The sequence below is a fragment of the Homo sapiens genome, chromosome 1, assembly GCF_000001405.40.
Source record: "Homo sapiens chromosome 1, GRCh38.p14 Primary Assembly".
Classification (NCBI taxonomy): Eukaryota; Metazoa; Chordata; class Mammalia; order Primates; family Hominidae; genus Homo; species Homo sapiens.
The window spans coordinates 224,882,805-224,905,539 of record NC_000001.11 but is presented as its reverse complement, the minus strand read 5'-3'; the positions used below and the strand labels follow the sequence as shown (position 1 = coordinate 224,905,539).

The 22,735-nt window shown below is 42.4% G+C and overlaps 1 long non-coding RNA gene across 1 annotated transcript in view; it reads left to right on the top strand.

Moving 5' to 3' along the window:
• LOC105373109 (uncharacterized) overlaps positions 1-21,752 on the top strand; it is a 45,784-nt gene extending 24,032 nt beyond the window's left edge. Inside the window, exons 2-3 of the long non-coding RNA XR_949207.2 lie at positions 20,759-20,880; positions 21,290-21,752. This is a non-coding gene — a long non-coding RNA (uncharacterized LOC105373109). The remainder of the gene's footprint in view (positions 1-20,758; positions 20,881-21,289) is intronic.
• The last annotated feature ends 983 nt before the right edge of the window (positions 21,753-22,735 follow it).

Sequence of the window (22,735 nt, the reverse complement as noted above, 5' to 3'; positions counted from 1 at the left end):
GTAGTATTAGTATATAATTACAAGGCTGAGATTCTCTTAACTTGATATTTGGGCAAAGAAATGAGGAAAAACACATGCAACTCATTCTGCAAGGTTAAAATGGGGTTCTTTTAAGTGTATTTTCAACACAGCATTGAAGAGCAGATACTAAACCAACCAAAAAATCTTGTGAAACTGTATATCTAGAAAGCAGGCGCAAAAAAAGTCTTCTTACATGCTATCTATTTCATGAAATCATTAGAAATGAGATTTTACAACCCTTCATCACACTGTGAAGAATATATTAAACTTTCTAATACCATAAGACACTTGCAAGTAAATCTGTGAGCCTACTCAGTTTCCATCAGTCCTTCCACACTCAACAATGTCTGGACAAAGTGCTATGGTGGGAACAGTTTGTTTCTAAGAGTCTTCCATCTTCCCATTTGTGGAACTTCTCTAAATCATGAAACTCTGTAAGAGCCATCACACACTGCAGCACCTGGGGCATGATTATTAAATGAATAAATGAATGAGTGAATGAATGCATGCATGCTGCACAGAACCCCACACTCTGATATTCCCAAATTCGTCCTGCCCTCACATTCAACAATATAGTTGTCAAATATTTACTGAACACTGCCTATGCTAGGGGCTGTGAAACAAACAATGAGGATGAGACCAATTATATTTCTTCAAAGTCTTTACCATTGAGAATAATAGGTAGACCAAAAAGTTAACATAGAACAAAATATGATACATGCAGGAGAAACAGTTAAAAATGCAATGGAGAAAGTTGGGCACAGTGGCTCACACCTGCAATCCCAGCACTTTGGGAGGGCGAGGCTGGAGGATCACCTGAGGTCAGGAGTTCGATACCAGCTTGGCCAACATGGAGAAACCTTTTCTCTACTAAAAATACAAAATTAGCCAGGCATGGTGGCGCATGCCTGTAATCCCAGCTACTCAGGAGGCTGAGGCAAGAGAATCGCTTGAACCCGGGAGGCAGAGGTTGCAGTGAGCCAAGATCATGCCATTACACTCCAGCCTGGGCAACAAGAGTGAAACTCTGTCTCAAAAAAAAAAAAAAAATGCAACGGAGAGGAATTGTGGATGTTGTGATGGAAAATAAAGAAAAGAAAGAAGGAAATGCTATAAAATAAACCAGAAACCAATGAGAGAATTTCCAAGCAGAGGCTTGGGTGCATTGGTAGTTAGTTGATTTTTTTTCTGGGCTATTCTGTCACCCAGAATGAGAAAGAAAAAGTAGACAAGATTGAAGATTCTTAGCTGAGGCCATGCTCAGCAGAAAGAGAAACTTGTGATAGGCTCTAGGGCAGTAAGGGCAACCAGTGCCAAGTTTCATTTTAACACTGACAGGTTGGTCATGGTGACCCAGAGCACACTTGGAGAATTCTTAGGCTACGTCTGCAGGGTTGCCAGTGGCTGGGAAAAGGGAAAGGGTGACCACATAGGAGCCACAGGTGTACTGTCTGTGAACTTCAAAGGCTACCGTCTGAGTCTAAACTCTGCAAGGAGTAAAGCAAATGCATTGAGTAAACTGAGTGATGGAAAAGAGGTTGAAAATAAAGTGTTTGATAATACAAGATGATAATATCAACCTCATCACAGGGGGGCCAACCAGCATGTAAAGATGTTTCACTGTCAACAATGTCTCACATTAAGCTTTCAGGTTCCATTAAAAAATTAATATGCTATATTCTATTTGATCAATCCATTAAGATTGAATTAAACAAAGTAAATGTGGCCAGGTGCGGTGGCTCTCGGTGACTCTCACCTGTAATCCTGGCTATTCTGGAGGCTGAAGCAGGAAGATCACTTGAGGCCAGGAGTTCAAGATGACCCTAGGCTGATTTCTAAAAATAAATAAATAAAACAAAACAATGTACTTAGGAAAGGAACCCTGTTTTTATATTCATAAGCTAATTTTAATATGTGTTTTTTTCAGTTTCTCTCTTAGATTATGAGCACTTGCCCACATCTGACCTTTCCTTATATTGTATCAAATTTCCACAGTTTCTGCAAAAGAAAGTTCCAGTGAGTGCTTAATGAACCAGATAATGATAGGGAAAGATAAAGCCAGGAGTCTTTGGCAAGTTGAATGAACCTCTAAGTGATTAGAAACTATTTGGTTAGTTTTTACCTTGCTAAATTAATTGATGCTAGAGTTGCTCTAAAGGCAAAAAAAACCTGTACTCAAATAAAAATTTAGTTATTATAATTTAAATGAGATCATTTACATATGCAATTCTACCAAATATTCTTTTTTAGGTAGACCATTACTTAATAAATAACTCAAGTACAAAACATTCCACATTTTTCCTTCTCTTTCTTCTTCTTTTTTCTTTTAATTTGAGGTCAATAAAATTTTTTCCTCATTAGTTCTATGAATAAGTGATTAGCCAATACCTTAACAATTTCCTGTGTGTGAACCAATAGATCCTCTAGTATTTTTTCAAACTCATAAATTTTATAACTCAATTTATATTTGCCCATTTGAATTCACCACAGAGACAAGGGATGTGATTAACAGAATAAAATTTCTAACTAAGATCAAAGAATTATATATTATTACTTTAGGTAACTCTAAGTACTATAAGCAAAAAACAAAATGAAACAAAAAAAAACTAATGAGTTTATTGAGTCAACATAGCAAGGTTTTTCATTCTTATTGAAAAACAAGGTTATTAAATTTTTTCTTACAAAAACAACCTAAGAATAATGAAATTATGGTTATCATATAGAGTACAGATTAAATTAGCTTCAAATTTTATCAAATCACATCCAAATGTAGCTACTAAAATCCAGCAGCCAAGAGAGAAAAAAACTGGGGATACTAACCCTTGGCTGTTTTAGCTATAATACATTTTCCCCCACATTATTATCCAGTAATTGGGATATATAAATGTAGGCTTTTAGAGGCTATCAAGTGTTCAAATTGGTAGGTAGCATTATTAGATAACAAGCACATTTCTTTCCCTTGAGTTGATTCAACAAATCAACTATAACACCACTAGTTAGGTGGATGAAGTAAAATAAAATTGGCAGCAAGCTCCTTTAAGCTTATAACTTTGCAATGAATTTTTGTGTGGTTTAATATTTGCTTAAGAGAAAGACATCTTCCTCGGCTGTTAATCCCAGATTCTTATAATGGTACCTGAGATCTTTTTAGCCAGTGACTTTTCCAGTTTCAGAAGGAGATGTGCATAAAAACCACTGAATGCTCATTTGCTGCAAAGATTATGAGCACAAGCCCTGGCATTAGACCTTCTGGGTTTAAATCCAGACTGTCATCTCTAAGAAACAGTCCAGGAAGCCGAACAATAACTCCTGCAACCCCTGCAAAATGACCAGTACTTAATAGTTGACAGCTTCCCTAATTAGGACCAGCCAGAGAAATCCAAATACACACCCCTAAGCAATAACATAGGATGCCCCACTTCCAGTTAGCCTGCCTACAGCTTCTCATTTTTCCAATTCCTGCCTCTGTGTCTTACACAGTATGTAACTGGGCAAGTAATATTTTTTTCTCTGCCTCAGCATTTCCTCTATAAATCGGAGATAATAATAGTATATACTTTATAGGGTTGTTAGGAGGATTAAATTACCTAATTTATGTACAGTGTTTAGAATACTGCCAAGTGCCTAATGAATGTTAAATAAATTTCAATTTCCATTGTTTTATATATCAATCCAATGTTCAGCTTATTAAGATGTTATGGAGTAACTAAAACATTCCACCTCCCATTGTGGGAACCTACATGTCAGAAAATATCCATGTGCGTTTCACTCATTCCTCTCCCAGCTCTCCAAAATATAGTTGCAATGAGCTTTCAATCTGGTTGTCTTTGAAGAAATTGCTTTCAAGTGAGGAAGCAAAGGCTGCCGGGCAAGTATATGAACATGGGGGTTGCTGAGGAATTTGTGTGAAATGATCAAAGAACCCTTCTGTGCGGTCTCCATTTGATATAGCAACTCTTCTGCTACTAATGCTTCACACGTAGGCACTTTCTGCTTCATACCTCCTACACTATGCTTCACACATGGGTGCTTATTGCTGGAGTGGTGTGGCAGACACTGTTGGGTGCCTACCCAACTCCCATTCTCCCCTTATTCCTTACTCATAGATCCCAGTTCTGTTAAGAGAATAGGAGGCCAGTTGCTTCTAGGGAAGTTAAGCCCTTCCCCAGATCCAGGGGGTGAATCTTGATCAGTCTGTCAGTTATGAGGATTCCATTCCTTTACTAGTGGTTACATTAGGAACAGCTGTGTGACACACTATGGTCAGTGATATGTGATGGGAAATCTGCTGAGGGGACACTGGGAAGATTTTTCTCCCACTTAAAAAGGAATCCAAAGAATAAATACCTTTTCCTCCAGCTACTAGACGTTGTTATGCATGGATGGGAAGCTTGGAAAGGCTGCAACCTTCTTAAGAACTGAGAGGAAAACAACAGAGTGGAAGGATGCTGTTGGTCATCGCTGGTCCTGATGACACAGTTGAGCCTCTGAATCAACCAGCCTGGAACCACCATTCTTGGGCCTTCCTGTTAAATGAGATAATAAATATTTTAAATTGATTAACCCAACTCTTAAACTTTAATGTTCAATTCAAATCCCTTGGAGGTCCTGTGAAAGCAGAGAGCCTGATTTTGTAGGTCTGGAGTGGTGCCTCAGATTCTGCTTTTCTTGCAAGCCCATGGATGATGCCGATGATGCTCGTCCACAGACTTGGAGTAGCAAAGACTAAAGCCACTCTTTCCTGGGCTTTCTGTTAGTTTCAGTGGAAAGAATGTCACTTAATTTGCTTTTGGTTATAGACGGAATTTAAAATTGAAGATGCTGAGAGAGAGGAAAAAAAGAAAATAGATTGTCTCTGTGGCTGGACATATAAACTGAGAGACCATACTCTTTCTTGTGGATAAATTAGCAGAAGCCTGTAGAGAAAGAGCAGCAGCAGGAAGAGAGGTACAGAACCAAGAGGCAGGAAGAAAACACTATGGGCAGTGGCAGGGGTGGTGATGAAGGTTTTCTGGTTTCCAGTTCCATTCTTTCCTGAGACCCAGCTGCATTCCTGCTCTTAGAAAAACCCTTTGGCTTACGATTGCTCAAATTGTTTTATGCAACCTGCTACTGAATAATCCTGATTAGTGCCGGTGCTCAACCAGTAGGGTCATGCAACTGTGTTTTTGTTTCTCAAATGGGAAGCTCTCTTTGAGAGCAAGTAGCTTTTACTTTCACATGTGCTATAGCATTGACTTTATTTATTTATTTATTTATTTATTTATTTATTTATTTATGAGACAAGGTATCTCTGTCACCCAGAGTGGAGTGCAGTATTGCAATCATAGCTCACTGCAGCCTTCAACTGCTGGGCTCAAGCTATACTCCCACCTCAGCCTTCCAAGTACCTGGGACCACAGGTGCATGCCACCACACCCGGCTAAGTTTTTTTTATTTTTTGTAGAGACAGAGTCTCACTTTGCTGCCCAGGCTGGTCTAGAATTCCTGGCTTCAAGCGATCCTCCCACCTAGGCCCTCCAAAGTGTATATTTTAAAACTTATAGCTTTTTTCCATTTGCTTACTTATTCCCCAGCACCAAACATAGTATCTGATAGATAATTGATGATCTGAAAATTCTGACTCCGTGAATAAAATGATGGACACACTCACAAGAACTTTACAGGAAATATGTATGTAGTTCAGCCAACTCTGATTCCATGTAAATCTCCCTCATATACTTTGTTTTCACCAAATCTGTTAGTACTGTGCTCCTTTGTGCATATGACTATGATAATGATGAAATAAGATGCATATTCTTCTTAAAGCCCTAAAGTTTTGTGTAATGTTCCTTGACAGAAGTGTTGTTCACTACTTATGTTCACTACATAAGATAGTGCTACAATCTGTCATCTTTTTAAAAATAAGTTTTATTGAGATATAATTCACATACCATATAATGTATTCATTTAAAGTGTGCAAGCCGGTTGTTTTTAGTACTCATATAGTCACCAAATTGTACAACCATCACCATAATCACTATTAAAATATTTTTATCATACCTGAAAGAAATCCCATACTATTTAGCAGTCATTCTCAATTTCTTCCCAGCCCACAGCCATGAAGCAACTACTAATGTACTTTCTGTAGATCTACCCATTCTGGACATTTCATGTCAATGGAACTGACTTCTTTACTTAGCCTGATACGTTCAAGATTTATCCATGTTGTAGTGTGTATTAGTACTTCATTTCTTTTCATGTGTGAATTACATAACATTGTATGGATATACCATTTTGTTTATCTCTTCATCTGTTGATAGATGTTTGGGTGATTTCTACTTTGGGGCTATTACAAATAATGCTGTTATGAACATTCATGTACAAGTTATGGTCTGGATATATGTTTTTATTTCTCTTGGGTAGATATCTAGGAGTGGAATTGCTGGGTCTTATGGTAACTGACTCTATGTTTCATCTTTTGAGTTGCCAAACTCTTTTTCCAACGTAGCTGCACCGTTGTACTTTCCCACCAGGAGTATATGAAGGTTCTGATTCCTTCAGCACTTTGTTATTATCTCTCTTTTTATTACAGCCATCCTAGTGGGTATAAAGTGGTATGCCATTGTGATTTTGATTTGCATTTCCCTGATGGCTAAGGAATGCATAATCTTTTGTCTGATAAAATTGAGAGGAAATGAATTTTTCTGGATAATCAACCATCTCTTATTTGTTTAGGATGTTTCTTCCAATAGGCTTTTTTTCCCCAATAAAACAGTTTTCATGCTTTCCAATTTACTTAAAAATCAGAACAATCCACCGTCATTATTTTTATCTAGGTGTTTCACATATGTATGCCCCCTGAAGGACACACATATTTATAACCCCATAGTCCCTATTGCAATAGTTCTTTGTGTGATGTAGGTATTTTACAAAGACATAATGAATGAATAAAGTAATAATACTTCAAAGAAAAGCTGTATTTTATCCTAGCAACTGTTCTCATGAGAACAGCAAGCAGCAGTACTCAGAGTGAAGCTTTTCAGAGCTGCTAGATATTTTTGATTCAATCTTTGCTTGCCCATTAAAACATTCATTGCATTGTGAATAAGAAAATCCAAACAATCTCCCACCCACCACAACTTTGCAAACCACAAATACATAAATCAGAAGATGTAGTTCATGACAAAAATTCTGGATTATGAGAGAATGGGGATGGTAAATGGATTGAGACAACTGAGAGACTGAATAGACAAATGGACAATGGCCAGAACATATATAAAAATAGAACTCTGATCCACAACCTGCAGCAATCAGGCCAGGAAACAACCCTATTATCTACAATAAACAGCCCAGGAAGCCAGTCTATGATCCACAAGTCAGACTTGCTGGAGATTTGACTACTATCTCTAAGAAACAGTCCAGGAACCCAAACAATAACTCCTGTAACAATTGGCCTCAAATGGCCAGCACTTGCTTCAATAATTGACAGCTTCTTTAATTTTTCTACTTCCAACTTAGGAACTACCAGAAAAAGTCAAATATGCACCCCTAAACATTACACAGGATGCCTCATTTATAGGTAGTCTGTCTGCAGCTTCCCCATGCCAACAGCTTCCAATCAGGGTACACATGAATTCTCTTTTTCCCTACTATAAAGCTTTCCCACTCCTCTGCCTGCCTTTGAATCTCTGCCAAAATGCAAGGGATGACTCCCTCACTATAGTAATCTCTGAATGCATATCCACTCCCTGTTCTCATGTGGTTGGTCTTTATTTCCACACAGGCTGTTTGGATTTAATATCCTAGCCTGATTTAGAATCTGCTTAACTATTTTCTGAATCCAGTTGAAAGAAGTAGTATTCCTATGACAGTCAGGTTACTATGAGTCAGTCTGGTGGCATGGAAAGCGCATGAGGCTTGGAGCTAAGAGATGATTATTGTAGTCCCAGCACACTGCTAATCACTTTGTGACTCTGGGCATGTGGCTGCTGGAGAGTTAGGTTTCTCTAGTTATAAAGTGGGAATAGTGGAGGCCTAAACTATATCTCTAAAATAGCTTCTGTTTCTTAATCACAGAATACTAGAAATGGTTTCAAATAATTTGTGATCAACTGCCTCCTCTAACCTTCTAACCTCATTCTCATCTGTTATGGACTGAATGTTTGTGTCCCCTCCAAATTCATATGTTTAAATCCTACCCCCCAATGTGATGATATTAGAAGCAGAGCCTTTAGGAAGTAATTTGGTCGTGAGGGTTGTCTTAGTCTGTTCATGTTGCTGTAACAGAAGACCATAAAATGGGTAGAATATAAACAAAAGAAATTTATTTCTCACAGTCCTAGAGGCTGGGAAGTGCAAGATCAAAGCACCGCAGATTGGCTATCTGGTGAGGGCCTGTTTCCTTGTTCATAGAAACTGCATCTTCTTGCTGTATCTTCACATTGTGGAAAGGACAAGGCAGCTCTCTGGGGCCTCTTTTGTAACACTTCTGCTGAAACTTTGAGAAAATAGAAAAAAGTCTTAATGTTGTGGAGTAGTACAGATTGAAAACAACTGTTCTATTCCATTTGGATACAACAAATATGCTCCATTGGTCTGCGGTGTGTAAATACTTGATCTTTCTCATCAACCATAGTAAGAGGGGAAATCTAAAAGTCCAGGCTACCCTGACAAGGCTCCCACGTCTCTCTCCCTGATGTGCCTGGGGTGCCTAGTGCATCTAAGTCATTAGTGGAACCTGTATGGTGTGGCCCCATCTGGACGTGTGTCTACTGAGGAGGTGTACTGCTTCTTTTAAAAAGCTGCCTTGCATGCCATGTGGCTATGTGTCCTTGTTCCTAAATAGACAAATGCAAACCTTCAGCTGTAAGCTGCCTGTTTGTTCCTTCCCTGAACATGGTCACAGAAGCTGGGGACAGCTGGCTGCAGAGGCTGGCCAGGGCTGCTCAGAAGTGCTGGGTATGTGGATGGTAGTGCCCAAGGCCAACCTGACATGTGGGTTATGGAGCTGCAAGGTAGTGCTCACTCTTATAAAGCAGTAACCTGCAGCTCTGCCAGCTACTACAGAAGCAGTTATTCCAAAGAAGGCCAATCCCCACTAGTCCTTAGGTCCTGCAGGCTTGGATCCAGTGTCTGTCGAGTACTGTAGTGGTCAGTTTGTCCAATGCTTACATGCAGCCACATCCCAGAGCACGAGCCAGTCCTATGTGCAGACTTAGGACTGGTACCAGCATCTGACACCTCATAGCCCAGATCCACTGTGATCGCCTCCCCATTGTCCACCTCTGTCCAGGATATTATCTGGAGCTACCCTTAGAGATTCTCAGGGAGTTTCTGAAACCCACCTGCAACGTGCTGTCATTCACTGGTTCTTCAACTTGACTGCAAGTTGGAATCATCTAGGGAGTGACAAAGATTCTTTGCCTGACCAAACTTTAGTCAGACTCCTGAACATCTTCCTAAGCCTATCTGTGCACTTACAATTCAGCTTCAGCAAAGATCCCTGCTAGGTCATCCCTTCACCCTTGATGTCTGATCAAACCTCAATATTGGATTGGGTTCCTCATCCTCCACCATCCCACTGGTTGAAGACATCCAGGCCTGTCTTCAGCAAGAATCCTATTAAGCTGGTTTAGCTAGAATCTCCTTTATTCCTGATATTTCCTCTTAGTAACTTTGCATCCATGGGCCCCACCCTGCTCCTTGGCTTTAAATTTCCACTTGCCCATGCTGTAGTCAAAGTTGAGCCCAATCACTCTTCACGCTGCAAAATTCCATTGCAGTGGTCCTTACACCTGTCATGATGGTCCTGAATGAGGTCTTCTTTAGAATACTTAAACAAATATCATTGAATAATATTTTCTTTAACAGGAGCTTTGGAAGCTACTAATGCCTGCCCCACCCACAGAGCTTTTTTTTTTTTTTTTTTTTTTAAGATGGAGTTTCACTCTTGTTGCGCAGGCTGGAGTGCAATGGCGCGTGATCTCGGCTCACCACAACCTCCGCCTCCTGAGTTCAAGTGATTCTCCTGCCTCAGCCTCCTGAGTAGCTAGGATTACAGGCATGTGCCACCACACCCGGCTAATTTTGTATTTTTAGTAGAGACAGGGTTTCTCCATGTTGGTCAGGCTGGTCTCGGACTCCTGACCTCAGGTGATCTGCCTGCCTTGTCCTCCCAAAGTGCTGGGAATACAGGCGTGAGCCACCGCACCTGGCCCCCACCCACAGAGCTTCTGATTTAATTGGTCTGGGGTACAGCCTGGGCATCAGAAATTTTCAAAGCTCCCCAGGTGATCCCAATGTACAGCCAGGTTTGGGTGCAACTGATGAAGCTGATAACCTCTCAGTGAAGAAGAAAAGAAAATTACAAGTGTGGCCTCTAGGGGGGACTCCCTCTCCTCAAATGTGATATTGTTCCTGAGGTTTTTTCCTACCCATCGTTTCAGAGTTTAGCTCAGCTGAAGGCAACATGGAGTCCATTCTGGCAGCCTAACATGGCTGCATTCTCAGCATTTCACGTTGATGAACTGGAGGCTGGATCATTGCATTCTCCTGTCGTGGCTAAGAAAGTAATAACAATACTAATTATAATTGTAATTGTTTTTAAAAGATAAAATGATGTTCTGTGGAGTGTGTGCCAGCTAAGTAAAATTGCCAGCAGCATAGACTACAAACTGTGAAGACTGTAAATCTAGGCACAGCCTGAAGTTTTATTTCCATCGTTCTTAAAAACTGCATATTACTTGCAAAATCTGAAATCATTCCCAAGAATTACATACTTTTAATTATTTAAAGTTAAATCTAGCTAATTTTACCAATTGTTCTTAATTAAATAAAAGGCAGAAAGCATGTATTAAGAAGATATATGTTACAGTTCAGTAGCTAAAAGGGCCTTCTATTAGAACAGAGAATATTTGAAATGAAGAGCTAATACAAGTTTAAATATTGAGCTCACTCCCAAAAACACTCAGAAAAAAAACCCCTAAATTCAAAACGTGTTTATTTTGTGGCACACCAAGGTCCATCTCACTATTTTTCTTTCCCCAAAAGACATACATATTAATATACACATTCACACACATGCACAGCAATGAAAAGGTGATTTGGGTAATACTTAAATTTATGTAAGGTAGCATGATGGTATTCTGGAAAGAGCATGGGGCTTTGGAGTCCTGCAGAATTGGGCTTGAATTCTGACTTTACTACAATTCAAGTGTGACCTTGGACAACTTATTTAAGCTCTGAATCTTCATCTGTGTAACATAGGAATATTTACACCTTTCTTACAGCATCACGCACAGCTAAGTGGAAGTGAAGAGGAAGTAACATTGAGGAATATCTGCTAAACTAGACAGATGCTTGTCCCCATGCTTTCAATTCACTCAACCGAAAACCAAAACCACCTATCTTTCTGCCTCTGTCCCCTACCATACTGTCTACATTAACACAACTTTACTATTTCATTATCCTCACTAGCACAACTTTACCATTTCAGGATAGTCTCACTCAAGCAAGCAACCTGATTGTTCATTCTAGGAACTTCGCAAAGGATTCATCAATTCTTCAATAGGGAACAGCAACAGACAGCTTATGTCCTAAAACTTCCTTGCTTTAAAATCTTTGCCTTGTTATTTCCCCAACTCTAAACTGTGAGAGACTGAATAGGAAAATAGACAATGGCCAGACCATACATAAAAATAGAACTCTGATCTACAATCTGTAGCAGCCAGCTGAGGAAATCAGCTTTTTAATGACATTAAGCAGCCTAGAAATCCAAACTGCCATCTACAAGTTAGATGTTGACATGGTTTGGCTGTGTCCCCACCCAAATCTCATTTTGAATTATAGCTCCCATAATCTCCACGTGTCGTGGGAAGGACCCAGTGGGAGGTAATTGAATCATGGGGGTGGGTTTTCCCATGCTGTTCTCATGATAGTGAGTAATTCTCACAAGATCTGATGGTTTTAAAAAGGGTAGTTCCCCTTCGTTACGTGCGTCCATATAAGAGACCACCTGAGCAGGCTTAGTGTGAGCAACAAAGCTGTTTATTCACTTGGGTGAAAGTGGGCTGAGTCTGAGAAAGGAGTCAGCAAAGGGTGGTGGGATTATCATTGGTTCTTATAGGTTTGGGGTAGGCGGTGGAGCTAGGAGCAATTTTTTGCAGGCAGGGGATGGATGTTACAAAGTACATTCTCAAGGATGGGGAATATCACAGAGTACATTATCACAAGGGCAGGGGAATGTCACAATGGCTTGACCATGGTACGGCCAGCTCAGAGGACCTTACATTCTTGTCTTTTTATATTAATAATTAAGAAATAAAACGAGAAAGAGTAGTGAAAACTTGGGGTGAAAATTTTGGGGGCGGTATGGAGGGGTGAGGGTGATGTTTCTCAGGGTGGCTTCGAGCAGGATTGGGGCGGTGTGGGAACCTAAAGTGGGAGAGATTAGATTGAAGTAAGATTTTGGGGTAAGGGGTGATACTGTGGGGCTGTTCAAAGCAGCATTTGTCATATAGAGTGATTAGTGATAGCCTGGATGCAGTTTCATAGGAATTGAGAGTTTAATTGGGAAGACACAAGGCCTAAATAAAAGGAGGAGGAAGATAGATATTAGAGGACTAACGATTGGAAGACGCCAGGATACCCAGTTAGAGAGTGGCCAGGTGGATCCAGCATGATTAGTTGCCTGATTAGCGAGTTTTTGAGCTGTCTTTGAGTTTTTTGATGTTATCATATACCAGGCCAGATTGATTTAAGTAAAAACAACACTCTTCATTAAGAAATATACAGAGTCCTCCTTTTTCAGCAGCAAGTAAATCGAGGCCCCGGCAGTTCTGGAGGATAACTGAAGCTAAAGAGTCAACCTGGGCTTGGAGGACAGATAACGTCTGTGACATATCTGTAATGCTAGCAGAGAAGTCATTAGAGAGGCTGCAAAATGTTGTGACAGAGATTGAAATGCCTGCTATTCCAGTTCCAAGTGCAATAGTGGAGGCAGAAAGTCCTAGACCCACAAGTAAAGGGATTAGTGGGATGACTTTTTTTTGTTGTGTTGATGTCATGAGGGGGACAGGCAGTTTTTCATTCCCATCTGCAAACTGGATTTTGGGGGTAAGGAAGACTAGAGTACGTGTGTCCATCCAGTTGGCAGGTAGGCACATGTAGGTGGAAGAGCCACATAAAAAGAAGAGACCTAGTGTCAGGCAGAACCGGAAATATAAAGTGAAAAGGTGAGAGGGTGTACTGAAAGAGGAGTCCTGCACCCAAAATCCTAGAGATCCAGCAAGGGAAGCAGCCATTAGAGGTTGTAATGGGGATTGATGGTGCAACTGCATAGAGGGAGAGGTTCGGTTCTTATGGTGTATGAGAAAGAACATAGTGTCTATGAGTAACCTTTCACTACTATTCATGGGGCTGGGTATAAGCAAACAAGAGGAGGGGCCAGGAGGAGAGTCAGATGAGCAGATGGAGGGTAGCGAAGGATGGAGTGAGATGCAGGGTAGGTGTCTTCCTAAACAATAGTGACTGCCAATGTTTTTTAGTTTGTCAGTAATGATAGAGGGCTTATCGGTAATGCGAAGTTGGAATCCTCCCATCTGTTTGGTAATGTGTGTGGCTGGGTTCTGAAGATGAAGAGTAAAGGAACATTTGGATGGTGGAAGGTTGCCTAAAGTGATTCCAGTAGGGTGTTGTCGGGAGATGCATAAAGGAGCAGCCACAGGGATGGTTGTTTGTGTGCTGAGGGGTCCAAATATGGGGGGTGAGGGTGGAATTGACATAAGGAAAAAGGTGCTGTAACTAGATGCGGAGAAATGTGGCAGCTTGTTGGTGCGAAATGTCTGGGGAGTTCTCACCAAATCTGTCTAGAAAGTAAAGAATTTCCTCAGGTGGGTAAAGATGAGGGCTATTAAAGGAGGTTCGGAGGTGCAGGCAGACAGGAGAGGTAGCCCAGTCAGCCTACAGAGCGGGGATGGCTGTGTAAGAGCAGGAAGAAAGGGAAATGCATAGCCAACAATTCTTTGCTAGAGAGGGATTGGAGGCAGTGAGGAGAGAGTGGGTGAGACTGATAGTATGCTGGAGGTAACTAGAGAGAGGTAGAGAGTGACTGGAGAATGGAGGTAAGGATAAGAGTGAGTAGAAAAGTAAAAAAAAAAGCACTTCATCAGGATAGAAGAATTGGAGTGTATCTTGCCATTGAAGATCTTCTATCCACTCCAAGAGAGAGTTAAGGGTGGCGGTTTGAGGTAAAACCGGGAGATATCAGTTATGATGGTCTGGAGGAAAAGTGTAAACCGGCAGTGTAAACAAGGGCAAGGCATTTATGAGTAGTTGAGAATGGTGAATAGGTGTATGACTAGACAGAAGATAGTAGGGATGACAAGTTTTTGGGGTGCAGTCCAAGTAGTGCAGGTGACTGCGTAAAGCCCCATTGCAAAAAGTAGGGTAAGGATGAATAGACCTAATAGAATGAAGGGATGTATTAGGCTCATAAGGGTTATTACTGTTATTCAGAAATGCAGGTGAGTTTAAGGGAAGTAGGGGAGAGTACTTGTGACTTCCAGGAGGAAGAGGAGAGATCAGGCTGGCTGTCCGATGGACACAGCTTTATTCTGGAATGGTGAACCCAATGGGGAGGGTCCTGCAGGTGCATGGCAGTTGGGGTACTATAGATGACTAAGTAGGGTCCAGTCCATCAAGGTTGTAGAGTTTGAGGGGTCAGATTCTTAACAAGAACTGATAATCCAGCAGGGGTATCTTTGTATCGCTGGGAATCTGGAGTAGGCAAGAGAAGATTAGCAGCCTGGCAAATTTCCTGTCTAGCCTGCTGGAGGACTGGAAGATAGTCGCCTAGAGGGCTGGTGTCTGGCACAAGGTTGGGGCCCAACAAGAAGGTACATCCATATAAAAGTTCAAATGGACTATACCCTATAGCTTCTCAAGGACAGGTTCTAATTCTAAGGAGGGCAAACGGTAAAAGTACTGTGCAGTCTTTTTTAAGTTGTAGGCTGAGCTTGGTGAGGTGTGTTTTTAAAAGACCATTAGTTCTTTCTACCTTTCCTGAAGATTGAGGACGGTAAGGGGCATGAGGGTTCCACTGGATGCCAAGGGCCTGGGAGACTGCTTGAGTGACCTAATGAAGGCTGGTCCGTTATTGCACTATATAGAGGTGGGAAGGCCAATATGACAGGAGGGAAGAAATGACTGCAGTGGCCTTCTCAGACCCTGTGGGAAAGGCCTCTACCCATCCAGTGAATGTATCTACCCAGACCAAACGGTATCTTAGTGTTTTGACTCGGTGCATATGGATAAAGTCAACCTGCCAGTCTTGGGTGGGGGCAAATCCTCAAGCTTGATGTACAGGAAAGGAAGGAGGCCTGAGATATCCCTGAGGGGTGGTAGAGTAGCAGATGGAATGCTGAGAAGTAATTTCCTTGAGGATGGATTTCCATGATGGAAAAGAAATGAGAGGTTCTAAGAGATGGGCCATTGGCTTGTAACCCACATGAAAGAGGTTATGAAAGGAAGATAAGATAGAATGAGCCTGTGAGGCAGGAAGGAGGTATTTTCCTTGATCCAAGAACCATTTGCCTTGAGTAGGAAGGGATTAATAGATAATAGTTTCAGTGGGAGAATATGTGGGAGTGAAGGAAAAAAACTGGCCGTGAGGGACAGATGTGGGAATACTAGCTGCTTCTTTTGCTGCATTATCAGCATAAGCATTGCCTTGAGTAATGGGATTTGGTGACCTCTGAGGCCCCTTGCAGTGAATGACTCTGGCTTCCTTAGGCAGTAGAGCAGCCTTAAGGAGGATTTTTATTAAGGAAGCGTTGATGATGGAGGACACTTGTGTAGTGACAAAACCTCTTTCTGCCCATATAACAGCATGGTGATGTAGGGAGTTTCAATGAATAGTGAGTAAAATTGGAGGAGTCGGGGGGCAGAAAGTATATGCGCCAAGTGTGAGGAGGAAAATAGATTTTGAAAGTTATGAGAGATGTAAAGAGTAAGTGGGACATGGTTTGTGACCTTGAGGACCTCTAGAAGTATTGAAGTGGTGGCTGCCGCCTCACGTAGACATGAGGGCCAGTCTAGAACTGTGAAGTTAAGTTGTTTGGATAGGAAGGCTACAGGTCGTGGGCCTGGTTCCTGTGTAAGAACTCCGACCGCACAGCCATGTATTTCAGCCGTATGTAAGAAGAAGGATTGGGACGAGTTAGGGAGTGTTAATGTGGGAGCTGTTTCTAGGACATCTTTAAGGAATGAAAAGAAGAGTGGGGAAAGGACTTAGGGTCTATGGGGTCAGTCAGGTTTTCCTTTGTGAGTTTATATAGTGGTTTAGTTAGGATGGCAAAACCTGGTATCCAAAGGCGAAAGTATCCAACCATGCCTAGGAAGGAAATGAGTTGTGGCTTTGTAGAAGGGGTTAGGGTTTTGGAGATTAGCTGGACATGATTAGCAGGGAGAGCACATGTGTTTTGATGAAGGACTATGCCGAGATACGTAATGGATGGGGAAGAAATTTGGGCTTTAGAAGGGGATACGCAATACCCCTTTCAGAATAGATGTTGAAGGAGCAGGAGGGTATCCTGTTAGGAAGATTCATAAGAGGGGCTGCAGAGGAGAAGGTCGCCCATATATTGAATAAGGTGAGAAACAGATGGACGGAAAGAAAGTAGATCATGAGAAAGAGCTTGACTAAAGTAATGGGGGCTGTCTCTGAAGCCTTGTGGCAGTACAGTCCAGGTGAGTTGCTGAGATTTGTGGGTGTCAGGGTCAGTCCATGTGAAAGCGAGAGGAGGTTGGGATGAGGGGTGCAAAGGAATAGTGGAGAGAGCTTCTTTGAGATCGAGGATGGAATAATGAGTTATGGAGGGAGGTATTGAAGATAGGAGAGTATACGGGTTTAGCACCACAGGATGGATAGGTAAGACAATTTGGTTAATAAGGTGAAGATCCTGAACCAGCCTGTAAGATTTGTCCAGTTTCTGGACAGGTAGGATAAGGGAGTTGTAAGGAGAATTTGTAGGCTTTAAAAGGCCATGCTGTAACAGGTGAGTGATAACAGGCTTTACTCCTCTTAAAGCCTGTTGTGGGATGGGGTGCTGGTGTTGAGCAGGGTAAGGGTGATTAGGTTTTAATGGGATAAGGGGTGCCTGATCGGTCACCAAGGAGGGAGTAGAGGTGTCCTATACTTGTGGATTAAGGTAGGGAGACACGAGAGGAAGATTCAAAAGAGGCATTGGATTGGGCAAAAGGGCAGCAATGAGGTGTGGCTGTAGTCCAGGAATAGTCAGGGAAGCAGATAATTTAGTTAAAATGGCTCAGCCTAACAAGGGAACTGGGCAGGTGGTGATAACTAAAAAGCAGTGCATAAAATAATGTTGTCCAAGTTGGCACCAGAGTTGGGGAGTTTTAAGGGGTCTAGAAGCCTGGCCATCAATACCCACAACAGTTGTTATGGGGGCAAGGGAAATGGGCCCTTGAAAAGAAGGTAATGTGGAGTGGGTATCCCCTGTATTGATTAAACAGGGGATGGACTTACCCTCCACTGTAAGAGTTACCCAAAGCTCAACATCGGTGATGGTCCAGCGGCTTCTGAGGCGATCAGGCAGTGTCAGTCTTCAGCCGCTAAGCTGAGGAGATCTGGGAAGGAGTCAGCCAAGGAACATTGGATTTGAGCTCCAGGAGCTTTAGGAGCTGCAGTGATGTGAGTTGGACATCCGACTTCCAGTGGGGGCCTGTGCAGATAGCGCATGGCTTAGGAGGAATCCCAGGCTGTGGGCATTCTGAGGCCCAGTGGCCAGACTTTTGGCATTTGAAGCAAGGTCCACGAGGAGGTTTTAAAGGAGCCCCTGGGAGCTGTGGCTTGGATGTTCTGAAGGTTTTGTATGCTGGAGACGTGGTTGTGGGTTGTCTTACAGCGGAGGCAAGTGGCTGTAACTCAGAGATACATTGCTGCTTGGCGGCTTCTTCTCTGTTATTGAACACCTTGAAGGCAAGGTTTATTAAATCCTGTTGTGGGGTTTGAGGGCCAGAATCCAACTTTTGGAGTTTTTTTCTAATGTCAGGAGTGGATTGGGTGATAAAATGCATATTAAGGATAAGGAATTCTTCTGGACCCTCTGGGTCTAGGGCTGTAAAGCGTCTAAGGGTAGCTGCTAAGCAGGCCATGAACTGGGCTGGGTTTTCATCTTTACCTTGGGTAGTTTCCTTTAACTTGTCATAATTAAAAGCTTTGTATGCTGCCTTTTTGAGCCCCTTGACTAGGTAGGAGACCATGTAATCTCACCTAGCTATACCTGGGGAATCCATCTGGTATTGCCAATGGGGATCCCCTCGGGGAACTGCTCTGGTGCCCTCTTGGAGGCCTGGCTCATGAAGCCGGCAGGTGTCTGCATAGGACTGGGCTAGAAAATAAACTCTTTCTCATTCACCTGGGAAGAGGGTAGAGGTCAGGGTGTCATTTAAGTCACTCCAGGTTAAATTGTAGGACTGAGTTAGATATTGGAATTCCTGTATGTATTTAGTGGTGTCTGATGAGAAAGAGCCTAAATGCTGGCTGATTTGGAAAAGGTCTGACAGAGAAAAAGGCACATGTACCCTGACTATGCCTTCAGCTCCAGCCACCTCTCTAAGAGGAAATTGTTGGGCAGGTGGGGGAAAACTAGTCGCAGAACGAAACTGTAAGCCAGCCTGGGTGTGAGGAAGGGAGTTAATAGAAGGGTTATAGGGTTGGGGAGCAGAGGCTGTGGAAGAATTGGGGCCCGATTCAGCCTGGTGAGGAGCGGCTGGGGAAGGAGGAGAGAGGTCAGAGGGGTCAGTGGAAAAGGAGGATTCAGAGGACTCTGAGCTTGGGTGGAGACCTAAAGAGCAGATGGGAGAGAAAGGAGGAAAATCTGGAATGAGTCGCATCTGGAGCAGAGACTAGGGAAAGAGCAAAGTGTAAAAAATGCCTTGACGTAAGGCACCTCAGACCATTTGCCCAATTTTCAACAAAAATTATCTAGGTCTTGTAGGATAGATACATCAAAAGTGCCATTCTCTGGCCACTTGGAACTATTGTCGAATTTGTATTGGGGCCAAGCAGTATTACAGAAGAAAATAAGACATTTAGGTTTTAGGTCAGGTGTTAGTCAAAGGGGTTTTAGGTTTTTAAGAATACAGGCTAAGGAGGAAGAGGGAGGAATGGATGGCGGAAGGTTGCCCATAGTGGAGAAGGTAAGTTTAAAGAGGAAGGTAGAGACACAGAGAAATGGAGGTGGGCAGCTACCAGGCTTCGGTAGGCATCTCTGACTGAGTCCTGGGCTGTAATGTGGGTGAGCAGCCAAAGCAGGCATCCCTGCAATTGACCTGCCACCAAGGGAATGTGGGTGAATGATCAAGGCAGGTGTCCCCGTGGAGATCAGACACCAAGGGAAGACTGTCTTCCCAAGTCCATGACCGACGTCGGAGTTTTTGAATGCACGGATAAAGTCTGTCTGCTTTTTGTCTCTACCAGGAAGGGAGAGAAACTGAAGTTGAAAGAAGAGAGATTGAAGGGAAGTGAGAGAGGTTAGGTAGAGAGTGAAAAAGCCACTTATCTGAGTGTGAAAAACTGCTTACCAATTTGAAATTGGTGAGATGATCCTTGGGCTGGCTGGTCTGATGACCTGAGGTTGTAGGTGGATCTCCTCACAGAGGGAGTGTGAGGACAGGGGACCGCTCTCCCGAAGGAGTTCCCCTGTCCTGGGTTTCAGCACCAAATGTTATGCATGTCCATGCAAGAGACCACCTGAGCAGGCTTAGTGTGAGCAACAAGGCTGTTTATTCACTTGGGTGCAAGTGGGCTGAGTCTGAGAAAGGAGTCAGTGAAGAGTGGTGGGATTATCATTGGTTCTTTTAGGTTTGGGATAGGTGGTAGATTTAGGAGCAATTTTTTGCAGGCAGGGGATGGATGTTACAAAGTACATTCTCAAGGGCAGAGAGGATGTTACAAAGTACATTCACAAGGGCGGGGAGGATGTTACAAAGTACATTCACAAGGACTGGGAATATCACAAAGTACATTATCACAAGGGCAGGGGAATGTCACGATGGCTTGACCATGGTGCAGCCAGCTCAGAGGACCTTACACCCTGCACATGCTCTCTTGCCTGCCACCATGTAAGACATGCCTTTGCTCCTCTTTCACCTTCTGCCATGATTGTGAGTCCATTAAACCTCTTTTTCTTTATAAATTACCCCGTCCCGGGTATGTCTTTATTAGCAGTATGAGAACAGACTAATACATAAGAAATTAGACCACTATCTCTACAAACAGTCCGAGGAGCCAAAAAATAACCCTGTCACAATTGACCCCAAACAGCCAGGACTTATTAATAACTGCCAACTTACCTCATTTTTGTCCCTGCTTCCAACTTAGGACCAACTGGAGAAAGCTAAATATGCACCCCTAACCAATCAATGGAATGCCCCAATTTTGATCAATCTGCATTTAACCTCCCATTGCCAACAGCCTCCAATCAGGGCATGCATGAATGCCCTTTTTCCCAATATAAAGTGTTCCCACTCCTCTGCCTTCCTTTGAGTCAATGCCAACTGCAAGTGATGGTGGCTGATTTCCTTGCTATAGTAAGCTCCAAATAAATAGCCTTTGCCTCGTCTCCTTTGAGTGGCCTTCATTTATTTCCATAACTGTTAGATCATGATCCTTATCAAGTCCTAATCAAGGTCATGTCAGGAAGTAAACATTTTCATGTTTCTGCATTGTTAGGCTTCTTCTTGAGTAAATTTTACTGGAATCTGGGTTAAAGGACAAATCTTGGAAGTTAAAGGGTAATTGGATCACCGGAGAACTCCTGAAAGATTTATCTCCCTGGAGGTACTTCCATGGAGGTATGTGTTTACATTTCAAAGGAGAGTAAGAACCAGATTCAAAGGAGAATAAAACCCAGACATGGAGCCATTCCAAGGTTGTAAACTCTGCCAAGCTTGTCTTATCTTTCCCCAGAGACATGTATTTACATTCCAAAGGGCTCTTCCCCTTCTCTTTCCAAGGAGATTTTCTTTATAGCAGAGATTTTTTTTTTTTTTCTCTCAGAAAACCTGCTGGGCAAGCCATCCTATGTAAACTGCCAGATGGATAATTTCAGGGTTCCTCTCTTGTAGTACAAGAAGACCCCTTTATACACAGAGCCCAGCCATCTGGCCCTCATCACATCACCTCAGAAGAGGGAATAACTGGGGTGTGGGGAACTGCAGCAGTTACGGCTATAATAAGTAATAATAATTTTCCTTGATCCAGTGTGGGAGATCAGAAATATGCCACAGGAAAATATGAAGGATTGTTGAGCTGAAGGCAATGAAGAAGCAGCAGATGCAAGAAAGCTCTCTGCCCTCCCTCTATTTGCCTAAAAGCAGGACATAGATTTACAAAAACAAAAGGTATCCTGCCCCACCTTCTACTGGGAAGAGCAAAAATATTAACTACCAAAGACAACTTCGGACCCTTATTGGCCTAGAGATGATACCAGAAGAATCTACATTAACAAGCTTTACTTACTGGCCTTTATTGCCACTCATTTCCTTCCTCCAAGTTGCTGCCCTTAGAGACTCAACGTCCTTTTCCTTTGTCTTGTCACATCCTAAAAATGTACTGTTTGAACTGGAATTCTAACGCACCTCTTTGAAAACTACTCATTCTCTGGGTGTCTCCCATGTATATATGAAATATACATGTTAATACACTTCTGTTTGTTTTCCTCTTATTTAATCTGTCTTTTGTAACAGGGGTCTATTCCAGTTTAGAACCTAGGGGAGTTATTCTTTCCCTATATCAGAATCCTTATGTTTTCGTGTAGGAAAATAGAAACAGATAAAGATATTAAAACATTCTCAACAGCTTTCCTCCCTCCATTGAAAGACTTGCCTTAAACCAAACTTCAAGTTCTCAATAAATTTGTCTTTCTTTCTCCCTTCAAGACCCTATGCAAGCTCGGTCAAGGTGCCCTCCCTCACTGCAGTGAGCAATAAACTCAGCCTTGCCTTATTAGTCGGTAATATCGGCGATTGCTGGGGACCTGGCAGTTGATATAATTATTCAACAAATTTTATGGGAGTTCACTGTTTTGTCCTAGCCTCTGACATGAGGCCTCAGCAGACCAGACCAAATCAGAATGGAGTCATTTTTGCTAAGTGTCACATAATCTAACTGAACTTTCAAAGGGGCCAGTTTTCCAAAAATATAGGAGATTTCAGTCAACCAGACAGTGTGATAAAGAAATCCCCTCTGTTTTATCCTTTTAAAGAAAGTAACTTTGAAACAACACATCTGCTCTTTGTTCAATATTTCCGCCTTCTTCAGCCCTTTTCTGTCTATTATAAAGTCACATTCATATGCTCAGCTCCTTGAACTCATTCTATTTTCTAAAATGAGAATTCTAGAATCACAAATAAAAGCTGGCCCGGTGCAGTGGCTCACACCTGTAATCCCAGAACTTTGGGAGGCCGGGGCAGGTGAATTACCTGAGGTCAGGAGTTCGAGATCACCCTGGCCAACATGGTGAAAGCCCATCTCTACTAAAAACACAAAAGTTAGCTAGGCATAGTGGTGCGTGCCTGTAGCCCCAGCTACTAGGGAGGCTAATGCAGGAGAATCACTTGAACCCGGGAGGCAGAGGTTGCAGTGAGCCGAGATTGTGCCACTGCACTTCAGCCTGGGCAACAGAGTGAGACTCCACCTCAAAAACAA